This window comes from Homo sapiens, chromosome 2, assembly GCF_000001405.40.
Source record: "Homo sapiens chromosome 2, GRCh38.p14 Primary Assembly".
NCBI classification, from domain to species: Eukaryota; Metazoa; Chordata; class Mammalia; order Primates; family Hominidae; genus Homo; species Homo sapiens.
In genome coordinates this window covers 1,308,179-1,320,751 of record NC_000002.12, presented here as the reverse complement: position 1 = coordinate 1,320,751, position 12,573 = coordinate 1,308,179, and the positions used below count along the sequence as shown (strand labels likewise).

At 44.7% G+C, this 12,573-nt stretch overlaps 1 protein-coding gene and 1 long non-coding RNA gene across 10 annotated transcripts in view, besides 2 other annotated features; one reads left to right on the top strand and one right to left on the bottom strand.

Moving 5' to 3' along the window:
• The window catches only part of SNTG2 (syntrophin gamma 2), a 416,765-nt gene that overhangs the window by 46,862 nt on the left and 357,330 nt on the right, over positions 1-12,573 (bottom strand). For 5 of the 6 annotated variants that reach the window (NM_018968.4, XM_017004361.2, XM_017004363.2 and 2 more), the window contains 2 exons: positions 12,166-12,258; positions 4,377-4,487 (listed from right to left, as the gene is read on the bottom strand). In NM_018968.4, coding sequence (NP_061841.2) covers positions 4,377-4,487; positions 12,166-12,258 — 204 coding nt within the window. Of the gene's footprint in view, positions 1-4,376; positions 4,488-6,901; positions 7,135-12,165; positions 12,259-12,573 lie in introns of those variants that run through there. The other variant, XM_017004362.1, reaches the window with a different exon arrangement.
• LOC105373359 (uncharacterized) lies at positions 6,292-10,718 on the top strand. Of its 4 annotated transcripts, XR_922714.3 has the most exons (4): positions 6,292-6,385; positions 6,909-6,981; positions 10,299-10,390; positions 10,627-10,718. It is a non-coding gene; the product is annotated as an uncharacterized LOC105373359 (long non-coding RNA). The 4 variants fall into 4 exon arrangements; XR_922713.3 differs by lacking the exon at positions 6,909-6,981; XR_922716.3 differs by lacking the exon at positions 6,909-6,981 and having other exon boundaries at positions 10,299-10,417; positions 10,627-10,714.
• Positions 11,226-11,845: an enhancer, noted in NCBI's record as "H3K27ac-H3K4me1 hESC enhancer chr2:1312679-1313298 (GRCh37/hg19 assembly coordinates)". NCBI's record gives its function as "activates a minimal SCP1, AML or CMV promoter by ChIP-STARR-seq in primed H9 embryonic stem cells {active_cell/tissue: H9 hESC(primed)}" and the evidence as "EXISTENCE:reporter gene assay evidence [ECO:0000049][PMID:30033119]".
• Positions 11,846-12,466: an enhancer, noted in NCBI's record as "H3K27ac hESC enhancer chr2:1312058-1312678 (GRCh37/hg19 assembly coordinates)". NCBI's record gives its function as "activates a minimal SCP1, AML or CMV promoter by ChIP-STARR-seq in primed H9 embryonic stem cells {active_cell/tissue: H9 hESC(primed)}" and the evidence as "EXISTENCE:reporter gene assay evidence [ECO:0000049][PMID:30033119]".

Here is a 12,573-nt window from a genome sequence, read left to right as displayed (position 1 = left end):
GGAAGTAAATTCTTCATTCAATAACATTTGCTTCCTCTCCACTCTTTTTTTTTAAAGGAAAAAACAGTCAAAGAGGAAGAAAAATATTTTATTTAAAAACTACTGCAACCTAAAATTTCCAGCCATTGGAATCTGTGTGAAATCATCCTACAGTCTTGAATTCTACGTGATTTTTTTCTTTCTTTTCTTTTTTTCTTTCTTTTTTTTTTTTTTTTTTGAGAAGGAGTCTCGCTCTGTCACTCAGGCTGGAGTACAGTGGCGCGATGATCTCGGCTCACTGTAAGCTCTGCCTCCCGGGTTCACACCATTCTCCTGCCTCAGCCTCCTGAGTAGCTGGGACTACAGGTGCCCGCAACCAGGCCCGGCTAATTTTTTGTATTTTTAGTAAAGATGGTTTCACTGTGTCAGCCAGGATGGTCTCGATCTCATGACCTCATGATTCACCCGCCTCAGCCTCCCAAAGTGCTGAGATTACAGGCATGAGCCACCATGCCCGGCCAATTCTACGTGATTTTTGCAAATAATGGATGGTAGGAATATTTCACTCTGCTCCCCAAGCCCCAGAACTCCTCCCTAGATTTCAGGAGAAACTCAAGTGTTCCCATCATGCACTAATTACTAAGGTAGCGTCCTGGTAGAATATTCCAGAAATATTTTCAACAACTACTAAAAGGAAACTTGTTTCATGGTTACCACTCATTTCACTAGAAAATCAACTTACTAGGAATATTGTTTTCTCTGGCACTCCTGGTTAATTGATGTATTGAGATAATAAAATGTTCCTATTTCTTAAGACAACATATTGCTAACATCCAAGATTTGCAATAGCTATGAGTTTCAACTCAGAATTCATTCCCGTGGACTCCTTAAGTCTTGCATTAGCTTCTAGAGTTTTCATTTCCCAGCTGCCATGTTCTAACTTTCTGTATATCTCATACGTTGATAAATGCACAACCTCAGTGTGTGAAGGTGACTTCTGAAAATGCCCACGGTCACCCATCACCCATGCACTAAGTGTTTGCAGTTATCCACATATGTGTTTCCTACTCTGTGGGATAAGGTGGGAAATGCTGTCATCCTCATCTGTGTCCCCTCTTCTTCCTGTGTAAGCTGTGAGGCCCTTGCCTGCACAGAGCCCAGGGAGCTGAGGGGCCCAAGCGACGTGCCCAGGGCCCTCGGGTCACTGCTCTTGTGAGGTCCCTACCTCTGTCTACCCAAGTTCCTCCCTCTCATCCCAGGGGTGCCACGGAGGGGCCTTGGGCGGCTCTGAGATCCAGCACGGGAAATGGAGGTGGAGGTTTTTTTAGTTTGGGTTTGTTGGGACATATTTATGTGCCCTACACTCATTTCTAAGTGTAGCTAGGTTGCTGTATTTGCAGTTTTACATTTTTTTTTCATAAAAAATTTCCACAAATTGTTTAAACTACAAGTCCTACGAATCTGGTATCCATCCCTGTGGCCTCTGTAACTCCCTGGGGCGTTCTCTTTTCCACCAACCCACGATGGAAATAGATGCAATCCAAACAAAGCATCACAAGGCAGCGATGCCGGTCTCAAAGCCTGTGTCCCACCTGAATCTAACATATTTCAAGCCTCTCTGTCTTAGGTGACCTGATACTGGTCTCAAAGCCTGTGTCCCACGTGAATCTAACATATTTCAGGCCTTTCTGTCTTAGGTGACCTGATACTGATGCTCCTTTCATTAACAGATAATCAAGAGCTGACTGATCATTAACAAATAAAACACAAATACATTTAACCTCAACAGACACTGTCAAAAGGGTGTTTCAGATGCCATGGGAGCTGCTGGAGGTCCTGAAGCCTGAGCCCCGGGGATGACAGAGGCTCAGAAAGCCACGGGGACACCGCAGGCGTGAAACCCTCATGGCCACCGTAGACCTCCGGCACCCTCACAGTATGAGACTCAGAGCTCCACAAGATTAAGGCAGCAAAAGGTTACGGTGCTCCTCCCCGGTGATGGCGCCCAAGGCAAACAGCTGCATAAATAAACAAACCAGAGGAAGAACATTCTATTTTCATCCCTGATCCATTCACATCCAAGCCAGTGAAATACCAGATGGAAACTGATGTCAAGCCTCTCTCTCCGCGTTCCCACCTTGCTGGTGGCTGACGACCCCAGGATGCGGCTCAGGGCAGCCTGCTGAGAGGTCAGCGCCTTGCCTGCTCAGGCACTGCGGTCAGCACGAGTGCCGCTGCCTCATCGCTCTCCCCCAGCCCAGGAGCCACAGTGTCTGTACCATCTGCATTCAGGTTTTGCTTTTGTCAATTTCCAAAACATAAAAATGTCAAACAATCCCATACAATTTCCGTTGTACTTAAAAGCAACTATAAAGTGTCATTTCATTGAGATCAATGAAGAGAGGATCAAAGTTGACCTAAACTTTCACGTATAAAAATGCCATGTGTGACATGTTGCTCAGATTAATTCCATCAGAGAAAAAAATGTGTGCAAAGTATTGACAATCTGTTTCCACACCGTATGTGTTCATGAGTCTATTTTTTAAAATTTATTTTTCAGTTTAGTAAATTTAATCTTTAGTCTTATTAAGTTTATATTAAACTGGCTTGTGGGCAACACATTTATACATAAAATATGGTAAAAGTCAACACCTGTCAATAGTACAATGTCACCTCCAGGCAATGAATTTAAAAGGTCTAAGGTCTTTAATTAACAAAGAAGTTTGTTCTCCATATTATAGTCAATTTATCACATACAGTGTGCAAACAAAATACAGTTTGTAAAACCCTTCCTTTAAATTTTGACTTCTGGTATATTTTAAAATAATGATTTCCTGCTAATATTTACTAAGAAGCTTGTACATTTTAGTAAAATCAAATACTTTGTTTCAATGGTCACCATTTTAGGATATAAACGTCTCTCTAACAGGAAACATCCTATACAGATTGAGCATCCCAAAAATGAAAATCCAAACCCTGAAATGCTCCAGAATCCCAACCTTCTCCAATGCTGGCCTGATGCTCAATGCTCCAGAATCCCAACCTTCTCCAATGCTGGCCTGATACTAAATGTTCCAGAATCCCAACCTTCTCCAATGCTGACCTGATGCTAAATGCTCCAGAATCCCAACCTTCTCCAATGCTGACCTGATGCTAAATGCTCCAGAATCCCAACCTTCTCCAATGCTGGCCTCATGCTACATGCTCCAGAATCCCAACCTTCTCCAATGCTGGCCTGATGCTAAATGCTCCAGAATCCCAACCTTCTCCAATGCTGACCTGATGCTAAATGCTCCAGAATCCCAACCTTCTCCAATGCTGGCCTCATGCTACATGCTCCAGAATCCCAACCTTCTCCAATGCTGGCCTCATGCTACATGCTCCAGAATCCCAACCTTCTCCAATGCTGGCCTCATGCTAAATGTTCCAGAATCCCAACCTTCTCCAATGCTGGCCTGATGCTAAATGCTCCAGAATCCCAACCTTCTCCAATGCTGCCCTGATGCTAAATGCTCCAGAATCCCAACCTTCTCCAATGCTGGCCGGACGCTAAATGTTCCAGAATCCCAACCTTCTCCAATGCTGGCCTCATGCTAAATGTTCCAGAATCCCAGCCTTCTCCAATGCTGGCCTGATGCTCAATGCTCCAGAATCCCAACCTTCTCCAATGCTGGCCTGATGCTAAATGCTCCAGAATCCCAACCTTCTCCAATGCTGCCCTGATGCTAAATGCTCCAGAATCCCAACCTTCTCCAATGCTGGCCATATGCTACATGCTCCAGAATCCCAACCTTCTCCAATGCTGGCCTGATGCTCAATGCTCCAGAATCCCAACCTTCTCCAATGCTGGCCTGATGCTCAATGCTCCAGAATCCCAACCTTCTCCAATGCTGGCCTCATGCTAAACGCTCCAGAATCCCAGCCTTCTCCAATGCTGGCCTCATGCTAAATGCTCCAGAATCCCAACCTTCTCCAATGCTGACCTGATGCTAAATGTTCCAGAATCCCAACCTTCTCCAATGCTGCCCTGATGCTAAGTGCTCCAGAATCCCAACCTTCTCGAATGCTGGCCTGATGCTCAAAGGAAATGTTCATTGGAACATTTTGCTTTTTGGATTTTCGGATTTCAGATGCTTAATCAGTACCTAATCCACAAATATTCCAAAATCTGAAATCCCAAACACTTCTGGTCTCAAGCATTTCAGATAAGGGATATTTGACCTCGACAGGCTCTTTCGGCGTATTTATTGCCTAATTTTCAGGAAGGACTCGTGCTTCAGGACCTATTGGTTTATTTTTGTGTGCATGGGAGGGGTGGAGATTTTTACCAGCGGACCCTCTGAGCTGTACTTTATGTGTGGGTGGTGGCAGAATAACCCATGCCCCATGCCGCATACCTTCGTCTCAATCTGTTTGGTGTCCAGATTCTGAAACAGCAGCTTTACTCGAGTTTTCCCATCATCTGAAGATCCCTTAAGCTGGGAAAATTTAAATCTCCAGAGCACATTCTGTAAAGGAATAAAATTAATTAGCGATTTCTAAACAAGAGCTCATTTATTTAATTAGCATCTGTTACTACATTAAACAGCCTCGTTAAATCAACAGACATTCACTTAATGTTTAAATCGACGTTTAGCATGTGATGATTTGTCTGTCTCTACTTTCTCATTCTTCAATCTTTGCAAACTGACCTCCTCCAGCCCACTCAACTCTCCCGCCCCACAGTCCAGCCTCCAGTAGCTGCCCCACATGTCTTGGGGATGCATCAGCATCCACGGTCCTCAGTCCCACGTCACCTGCAGTCGACCCCTCTGGTCTTCCCTTGTGTTTTCCTGTACACAGCCTTAAAACATCCTATGAGCATTGTTCCTTTTTCTGCTTGGAGAACTTCAGAAAAAATCACTAAAAGTTCCAGTTCTTCCTATATTATATAAGACATAGTCAAAAGTGCAGATAAAATGAAAAACTTTAATCCTGACTGACACCACCCCATCTATGGCTATATGTGAAACACTAAACCTTAGTTTTTCATGAACCAATTTGAAAAATGTAAAATTAAAAATTAAAAATATCGCCTTTTAATACTACTGCAAAAATCACTTAATGTTTGCTATGGTACGTTAAAGATGAAATGTACTCTACAAACTCTTACTCCCATAAATAAAAAAGGCTGCAGCAAAGAAAGACGTAATGGATGTCTTCTATAAAAGATAGTCTTTAATTATAGATACTTCATTATAATAAATATTTATCTTCCCAGGAAAATTCCACCAGGGAACAGTAATTTTTTTTTTGGCAAGCCATACGTCAAATTTCCATTAAAAGCTTTTATTTTTAAACAATGAACATATTTTTCTCTAAGTGTCAGGAGAGACAAAGGGGCTGCAGAAAACAGGGAAGAAGTTTCAAGAACATTTCTATCCCATCTGACCATTGACGGGTTTATTTCCCGCCCACACGCTAGCCTCAAGATTCTTGGCCACATCTTTTTCTTTATATTAAATCCAGGAGCTAAATAGAATCTCCGCATTTTACGCCAAAGTGTCAAAGCACATGTTTCCTCTAGGTTTTGGGAAATTTAGAACTTCATAGGATCTTAGGGAATAGTTTCTCTGTCTCTTCCACGTTCACAGTGAGGAAACTGAGCCCACACCCACCTGGACAGACTTTGGGCATCAGGATCCTTTTAGCATTAGAATTGCCAGACACTATCTAGAAAGAGAATATTCCAAAATCATGCTTCAGTCACTGCTTCCCATGTGATATGGTTTAGCTGTGTCCCCACCCAAATCTCATCTTGAATTGTTATGGGAGGGACCTGGTGGGAGGTAACTGAATCATGAGGGCAGGTCTTTCCCATGCTGTTCTCGTGACAGTGACTAAGTCTCACATGATCTGATGGTTTTATAAGGGGCAGTTCCCCTGCACACTCTCTCTTGCCTGCCACCACGTAAGACATGCCTTTGCTCTTCCTTTGCCTTCTGCCATGATTGTGAGGCCTCCCCAGCCATGTGGAACTGAGTCCATTCAACCTCTTTTTCTTTATAAATTACCCAGCCTTGGGTATTTCTTCATAGCAGTATGAGAATGGACTAATATCCCGTGGTTGTCAATTCCAGAAGTGAAGCATGTGTATCCATTCTTGTCGCGAGCAGAAGAGAGCGTGATGTGAGTACTGGGGCACTGAGGCAAGCCCCAGAAGCAGATGGCAGCCACAGCTGGCCTGGAGGGCCTGTCCCAGTGAGGGAGCTGCCCGAGCCACTCCTGCCCTGCTCCACCCACTGCACCTGCCTCCGGAGAGCCTCTTCCCACACTCCACACCAATTCCACCTTGCCTAGGCAGCGCCAAAGCACCTTCTCTGAAAGCTGTTAAGTGAAGGCTGTGACTTCAGCCCCTTAGATTCAGGTAAGTCTCATCTGCCTTTAAAAGGACCTATTATCCATCATTTGTAGGAGGGACCTGTGATCATAGGTATGTGCTCATCCATCAGGAGAAGCCAGGCAGTCTTGGCTATTGAGGTTTTGCCTAATTTCTCACAAAATAAGCAACAAACGACTCTGTGAGCAGCAGTAAGAGTCTTTGGTTCAAATTTGATTTTGAAGAAAGAGCGCAGTAGTGGTCTACCCCTATTAGGATAGGGTCCTGGGAATAACCTAAATTAATATTTTGCATGGTATTGTAAACTGCTATTAAAACATTATATACAAAAAGTGCAAAAATATCTATGTAAAAGTCCTGTTTATTGTTTAAAGAATTCAAAATGGTCCTCACAGTGAAGTGATTTAGGTATATGATTATTGTCTTTATGGTCCATTGATATTGCACTGCAACTGTACTCAATATTTGCAGATTTGAGAATAACCCTTCCTCATGAGGCATACATATCCAGTATATATGCTTAAAATTATGTCCTAATTTTACCATCTAGCTCTTGTCTGGGTGATGGAGGACAAGGATCTCGTCAGCTTCTCTGGGTTGGGACAGGCTGCAGCGTGGTCCAGGTACAAGTTGGGGCTCCATGGGCGCAGGCGTGACTCTCTTTCTGCCCTTCTCAGAGCTGTGTGGCCGGACGTGGTGGCTCCTCTCATAATCGTCCCTTCCAAATCGCCTGTGGTGGCCTCTTTTAACTGTTTCACAGATTTTCTCTTCTGCACCTGAAAACAGCAATGTTTCTGTAGAAAAGGAACTTGTTTTTCCATTATGGATGGCATTTCTGCACACTTTATGTAAAAGTGGACTGGGTAACAGTTTAATTTCACAATTCTGAGCCCTTCTCCAAAGCGCAATTGGACATTCTAGGTCGGAATGTGGCATGTGCTCCACTCACAGCTCCAGAGACGCTGTTGGGCAGTCAGTCACATCAGAGCCATTTTTTTTGCTCCACATCCTGGGGGATAAACTTGGGTGGACCCATCCTCCCGTGGCACAGATAAAAGCTGAAGGGAAGCCGGATTTTTAGTTCTCCCTCTTGGAAGACAGAAAACATTTTTCCATAGTTTTAGTAATTAAAGAGCAGCTTTGCAGTTCAGTGCATGTTACATGAAACATGCTAATGTTTACCTATTACTGTGATGGTTTCAGGTTGTTAAAGATGATAATCACATCTCACTTCCTTTGGAACACATTCTGATTATTAATATACTGACAATGGAAGGTAATACTTCCTCTGCAACACAGTCTGATTGTTAACACACCGATCATGGAAGATAATCCTTGAATCCTTCACGGTGGAGATGCCACAGGCAGTACCAGGCAACTCCATGACAAGGACTTGGAGGTGCTCTCAGTTCAAACCTAATTCGTTTCTTGATGTTTTCCTGGGAGCTGTGGAGACATTTGCTTCTCTTCCTCATCAGGCCAAAGGCAAGTCTGCACTTCGTCTTCCACAACAAACAATTCCTTTTCAGCTTTTAAAAACTGATCTTTTTGTTCCTCTCCATCAACCTTAACTCAGCCCCACAGGAATCCTGTTCCTAGCTAAGGAGCAGGTCCCATGGGGGCCAGGACAGCACCAGGACACTCTTGTGAGAGTCTGCACCAATCGCTCTAAATACAGAATCATAATTTGCTGCGGTGTGGGAAGTGGCCTGGTGGTAGATTTAGAATAGAAGTTACCATTTAGAGACAAGGCTAGCTTTTCAACGTGTCCCCAAGAACGAGTGAATCCTGCGGTGGTTCTGCCTCTCCAGCAGCTCTTGGTCCTACACGTATGGCCAGGCTCCATCCTGGGATCCGTGGAGGCTGAGGACTCAGGCGGCACCCCTCCTGGACCCAGGCTGCCTGGTGCCCACCCAGGGTCAGCCTCCCCTTCTCCCTCACCATTGTGGGTTCTATTCTTGTCGATGTCCTCTCCCACTTCTGATTAATTACATGGAACAGGAGGGAAGTCAGTGCTAATCCAGAGAGTGAGAAGAGGATGTGGACATCGTCCAGAGGCCCCGCCGGCCTGGACTGCGCTTGGACGGGGCAGGAGACCCGCCTGCGTGGGGCAGGGACGCCCTCCATCTCTAGCAGCTAGGGGGTGTTCTAGTTTATCCTCTTTAATTAAAAAAAAAACTTTGCATCGAGAGATTTAGGCCATATAGATTAGATAATGGTCTTCTCATTTATTTTGTAAGTGCAGAAAATATTTTCATGGTCAAACACATTTTTTTTCCTGCTTACCTCCTTTCTCAACATTGAAAATAGATAGTTGATGGTGAATGGATTCAGCCTGGGAAATAATTGCTTGTCTTTATCTGGCAAGCAGAAGTGGGCAATCAAGAAATCTGACCACACACAGGCTTCGAAGGAGGATGTCCCTGCAAATGAGTTGGGTTGGCCTCCCAAGTCCAGAACCTCTTTCCTTGCAAGAGTTTGGTGAATAGGCATTGTTGCCATGTCATGGTCTAGTTTTGACCCAGAAATAATACACAAATGTCCTCAGTTAACAGGATAGTGTGGTGTAAAAGTGCTAATTATCTTGTGAATATAAGCATGGTAACTCCCAATCTAAGTATTTGTAGGCACAGAATCTATTTGATTTTTTTATAATGACTAATAAGAGGGCATGTGGGTACCGGAGAAAGTAACATTTTAAATAATTATTTAGAAGCATTTCATATTCAATAATATTTATCTTCATAATTCTTTCATCATATCATTCATCATATTGATGTTCCTATCAATATACAAATAATCGAAAGCCTACTGACGCCAAACTCACAAATGTCATCCTACATTGACATGAGTGACAAGATGCCAAATAAAGGAAAATTATAAACATTTTATGAATTTACAACCCATTGGTTTATCCTTCACAGTTAAGGTGGGAAAGCTTTTCTTCAAAAAAATTAATTCAAATATTGCAAATTCTAAAATAAACTACAAGGAACAATTGTTTATGTTGTCATGTGCTATTTTCAGGTTCAGTTGTTGTCTGAATGGACTCAACAAGGAGTTAGGCCAGAACTCCTTGAAATAAAGAAATAATCACGAGAAAAATGTGAGGTCAAGTGCTCTCCTTCAAAGGAAAATAGGTCAGCAGGTCAGGGCCTCTGAGCCTCAGGTTCAGACCAGCAAAAAGACGTCTTCATTGAATCTTTACACAAAGTTGACCTAGAGTGGAGAGGACAGCGAGCAGAGAAGAACCTCAGCTGAGGAGGTGAAAAGTTCCTCCCTGGAAGCAGAGAGAGCGGGTAGAGGGCTGGAGCTGGCCCAGATGCCCCCGGACCGCCGGCATGCTTACTCTAGCACTGCCCAGGTCATTTTGGGTGAGGGATACGCACGCTGTCAAGCAAAAGGAGGCACTCCAGGCTGTAGACAAATGCGCTTTAATTATAGGAGCTCAGCTGAGTTGGACGGTCTGGTTACCAAGGATTTAAAACACTGCTGCTTTACCCTAAGGGCTCACAACCCCATCTTGCACAGCATTAAGAAACAAATTATAGCTATTTTAAAAGTTGACTGGATTGATTTTAGGGCTGACTCTGGAGACAGTTCTGTCTGAAATGATAGGAAGTGCCCCATGAGGCCCCAAGCCCGGCTCTGCCTGACTGTGCCTGGCATTGACCACGCCAGGGAAATGGGAAAAGGCTCCGGAGAAGGATGGTGATGCCCTTGAGGAGGAAAGGCACAGGGCAGCCCAGGAAGAAAGGAAACTCACCGGGGAAATGAAGGTAGGAAATGTGTCTTCATGTTGAGCAATGGCCTGGAAACTCACAAACATCACTCCCACCCAAGGAACCCCATGGCCACTCCAGGTGAAAATCAGCCCCTGCAGGTACGGGGCTCAGGGCTTGGCTGAATGTGGTGATGGATGTTCTTTTCATTTTTGCAGACTCAGTTGATCTTCCTGTGCTGAGACCCTCTAGCAGAATCACAACAGAGAGACACGTGACCTCTGGACACTATGCTGAGCCCCGAGCATGGGTGAGAGGCGCTGGCTGGGAAGGGCCTGTGAGTACATTACCCACAGCAACACAGGTACAGATAAATGCCCCTGGTGAGTGCTGGCCCAGGCAATGGGGCCGGTGGGCCAGCGTTTCGCTCCTGGAAAGGAGGAGCTCACAGGCTCCTTCCAGTGGAGGGACACACAGGACCCCAGGGGCTGCAGTGAGGGGGCTACGCAAACCTGCTCTAAAGCAGAATTTGGATTCTCCTTTCAGATTGCCTGGAACACTTCATTACTTGAAACACAGAGCAAGAAGCAGAAGTTACAAATCAGGTGTTCTCTTTAAGAAGCTGTATGGAGAGTTTGTCCTTACACTTGAATAGTTGCTTCATTACCTCCCTTATCTCAGAAGGACATGCACAGTAAGGTTATGAAGAACTGGCTTCCAAATAATATTAAGAGCAAGTCACCTAGACTGGAACCAGCAGGTCCATATGGCAGACCAGGGACAGCGGGAAGAACACCTAAGTGGAACCCTGAAGCTACTTCCCACTCTGTGACTTTAGGGTCCATAGAATTATGGACCTGGATACTGGATGGCAGATGTGAAATCCCTTCTTCTTATTCAATGCTTATGCAAATATGTGCTATTGTCATTGCAAACATGGTATGTGCCCTGGAGGGGAACAATGACTCCATTAAATTTTCTGGCCCTGGAATTCCGTAAAGGAAGTAGTCCATGGCCCTAGCCCAGGTTTTTCAGCCTCCACACTATTGCCCAGTAGGCCCTGGAGATGCCCTGTGTGGGGCCCTGTGCCCAGAGCGGCATCCCTGGGCTCCACCCTGCAGGTGCCCTGGATATCAGCAGAAACTCCCACCAAGTCCTGACAATAGAAAGTGTCTCCAGACATGCCCAAGTGTCCCTCGGGGGCAAAACCACCAGTTTGGGAGACCCTGCCTAGGAAAGGTTTTTGTCTTGCTTTTTGTAGAGAGGCCACACAGTGAGAGGCTTCTCAGAAAGAAGGCGCAGTTCCCAGTGCTCATTAACCTACAGATTCAATGACCAATTCACTGCAGAGGGCATCCAAAGGTTCTCGAACACAGAAGTTAGGAAATGACCATGAGATAACAAACGGGGCTCTATTTTGTAAAGGGGGTGCAGCCCGATTTGGGATTGCTAATAAAAGACAAGTAAGTCTTTCAACTCGATTTGTTGAAATTTTTTTTAACAACCGTATTTATCTTACCAACACTTTCCATTTCACTCATTCTTAATTAACACAGAGAGTAGGTTTTAAAAAATATTATGACAAAACAGTGGATTGTCCTCACAAAGCATTTCCTTAACACTTACGTAGTTAGGAGAATACTCAGATGGGGTGGAAATGGGTCTCACTCCCTTCCTAATGGCAGCTGTACATTCCTGGCATCCGCCCTCCACAAATTCCCCCAGGCACAGGCACTGTTCACCGCTACCACGAATGTTCAGATGGAAGGCAGGCAACGATGAGTGTTTTTTTTCAAAGCGTTTACTCAAGTGTTGTGGGTCCCTCCTTAGCAGCAGCATCTTCAACTTCCCTATCCACCCACCTGACCCTGCTGTGAATCCTATTGGCCAGACACCCTCAGGGCTTGTGGCGATCCTGGGGCCCTGAGCTATCAGAAAAAAAAGTCTATGAAAGCAAGGCCTCTGCACGATACACAATCCAGCAAGGTTGGTGGCTTCTACCAGACATGCGTGAGTGTTAACGCCCATGGAATGTAACCAAGCACATGGCAATGGGGCGGCATGGATGCCTGCTTGGCCTCTTACCTTGGTCTTACTCTCAAAACAGGTAAATCCCAACGCGAAATCCACCGTGAAACACAGCATCTCTCCTTGCCAGCTGCACATGTATGTTCTGGACTAGAAAAAAGTATCAATTTTGAGAAAACATTCTTTAATAATGCTGTTTAACTTTAATTAGGTAGTCTCCATATTAACCCCCCTTTGGTCAAAAATTATAAAATGCTCTCATATGCAAGTTACGGGGAACAAAACAGGAGGATGCAGGGTCCCGGGAGACCCACAGGAACAACTGCATACAGGTTCTTTCTTGCTTTTTGTCAAGAGGCAAATATTTCCAGCTCGGTGAGGTGGGGAGTGTTTACAGGCATTGCTCTAACTCAGAACAAATGCACAGAGCCCAGCCAATCTCTATTCTCCTACGCGTGTTTGAAA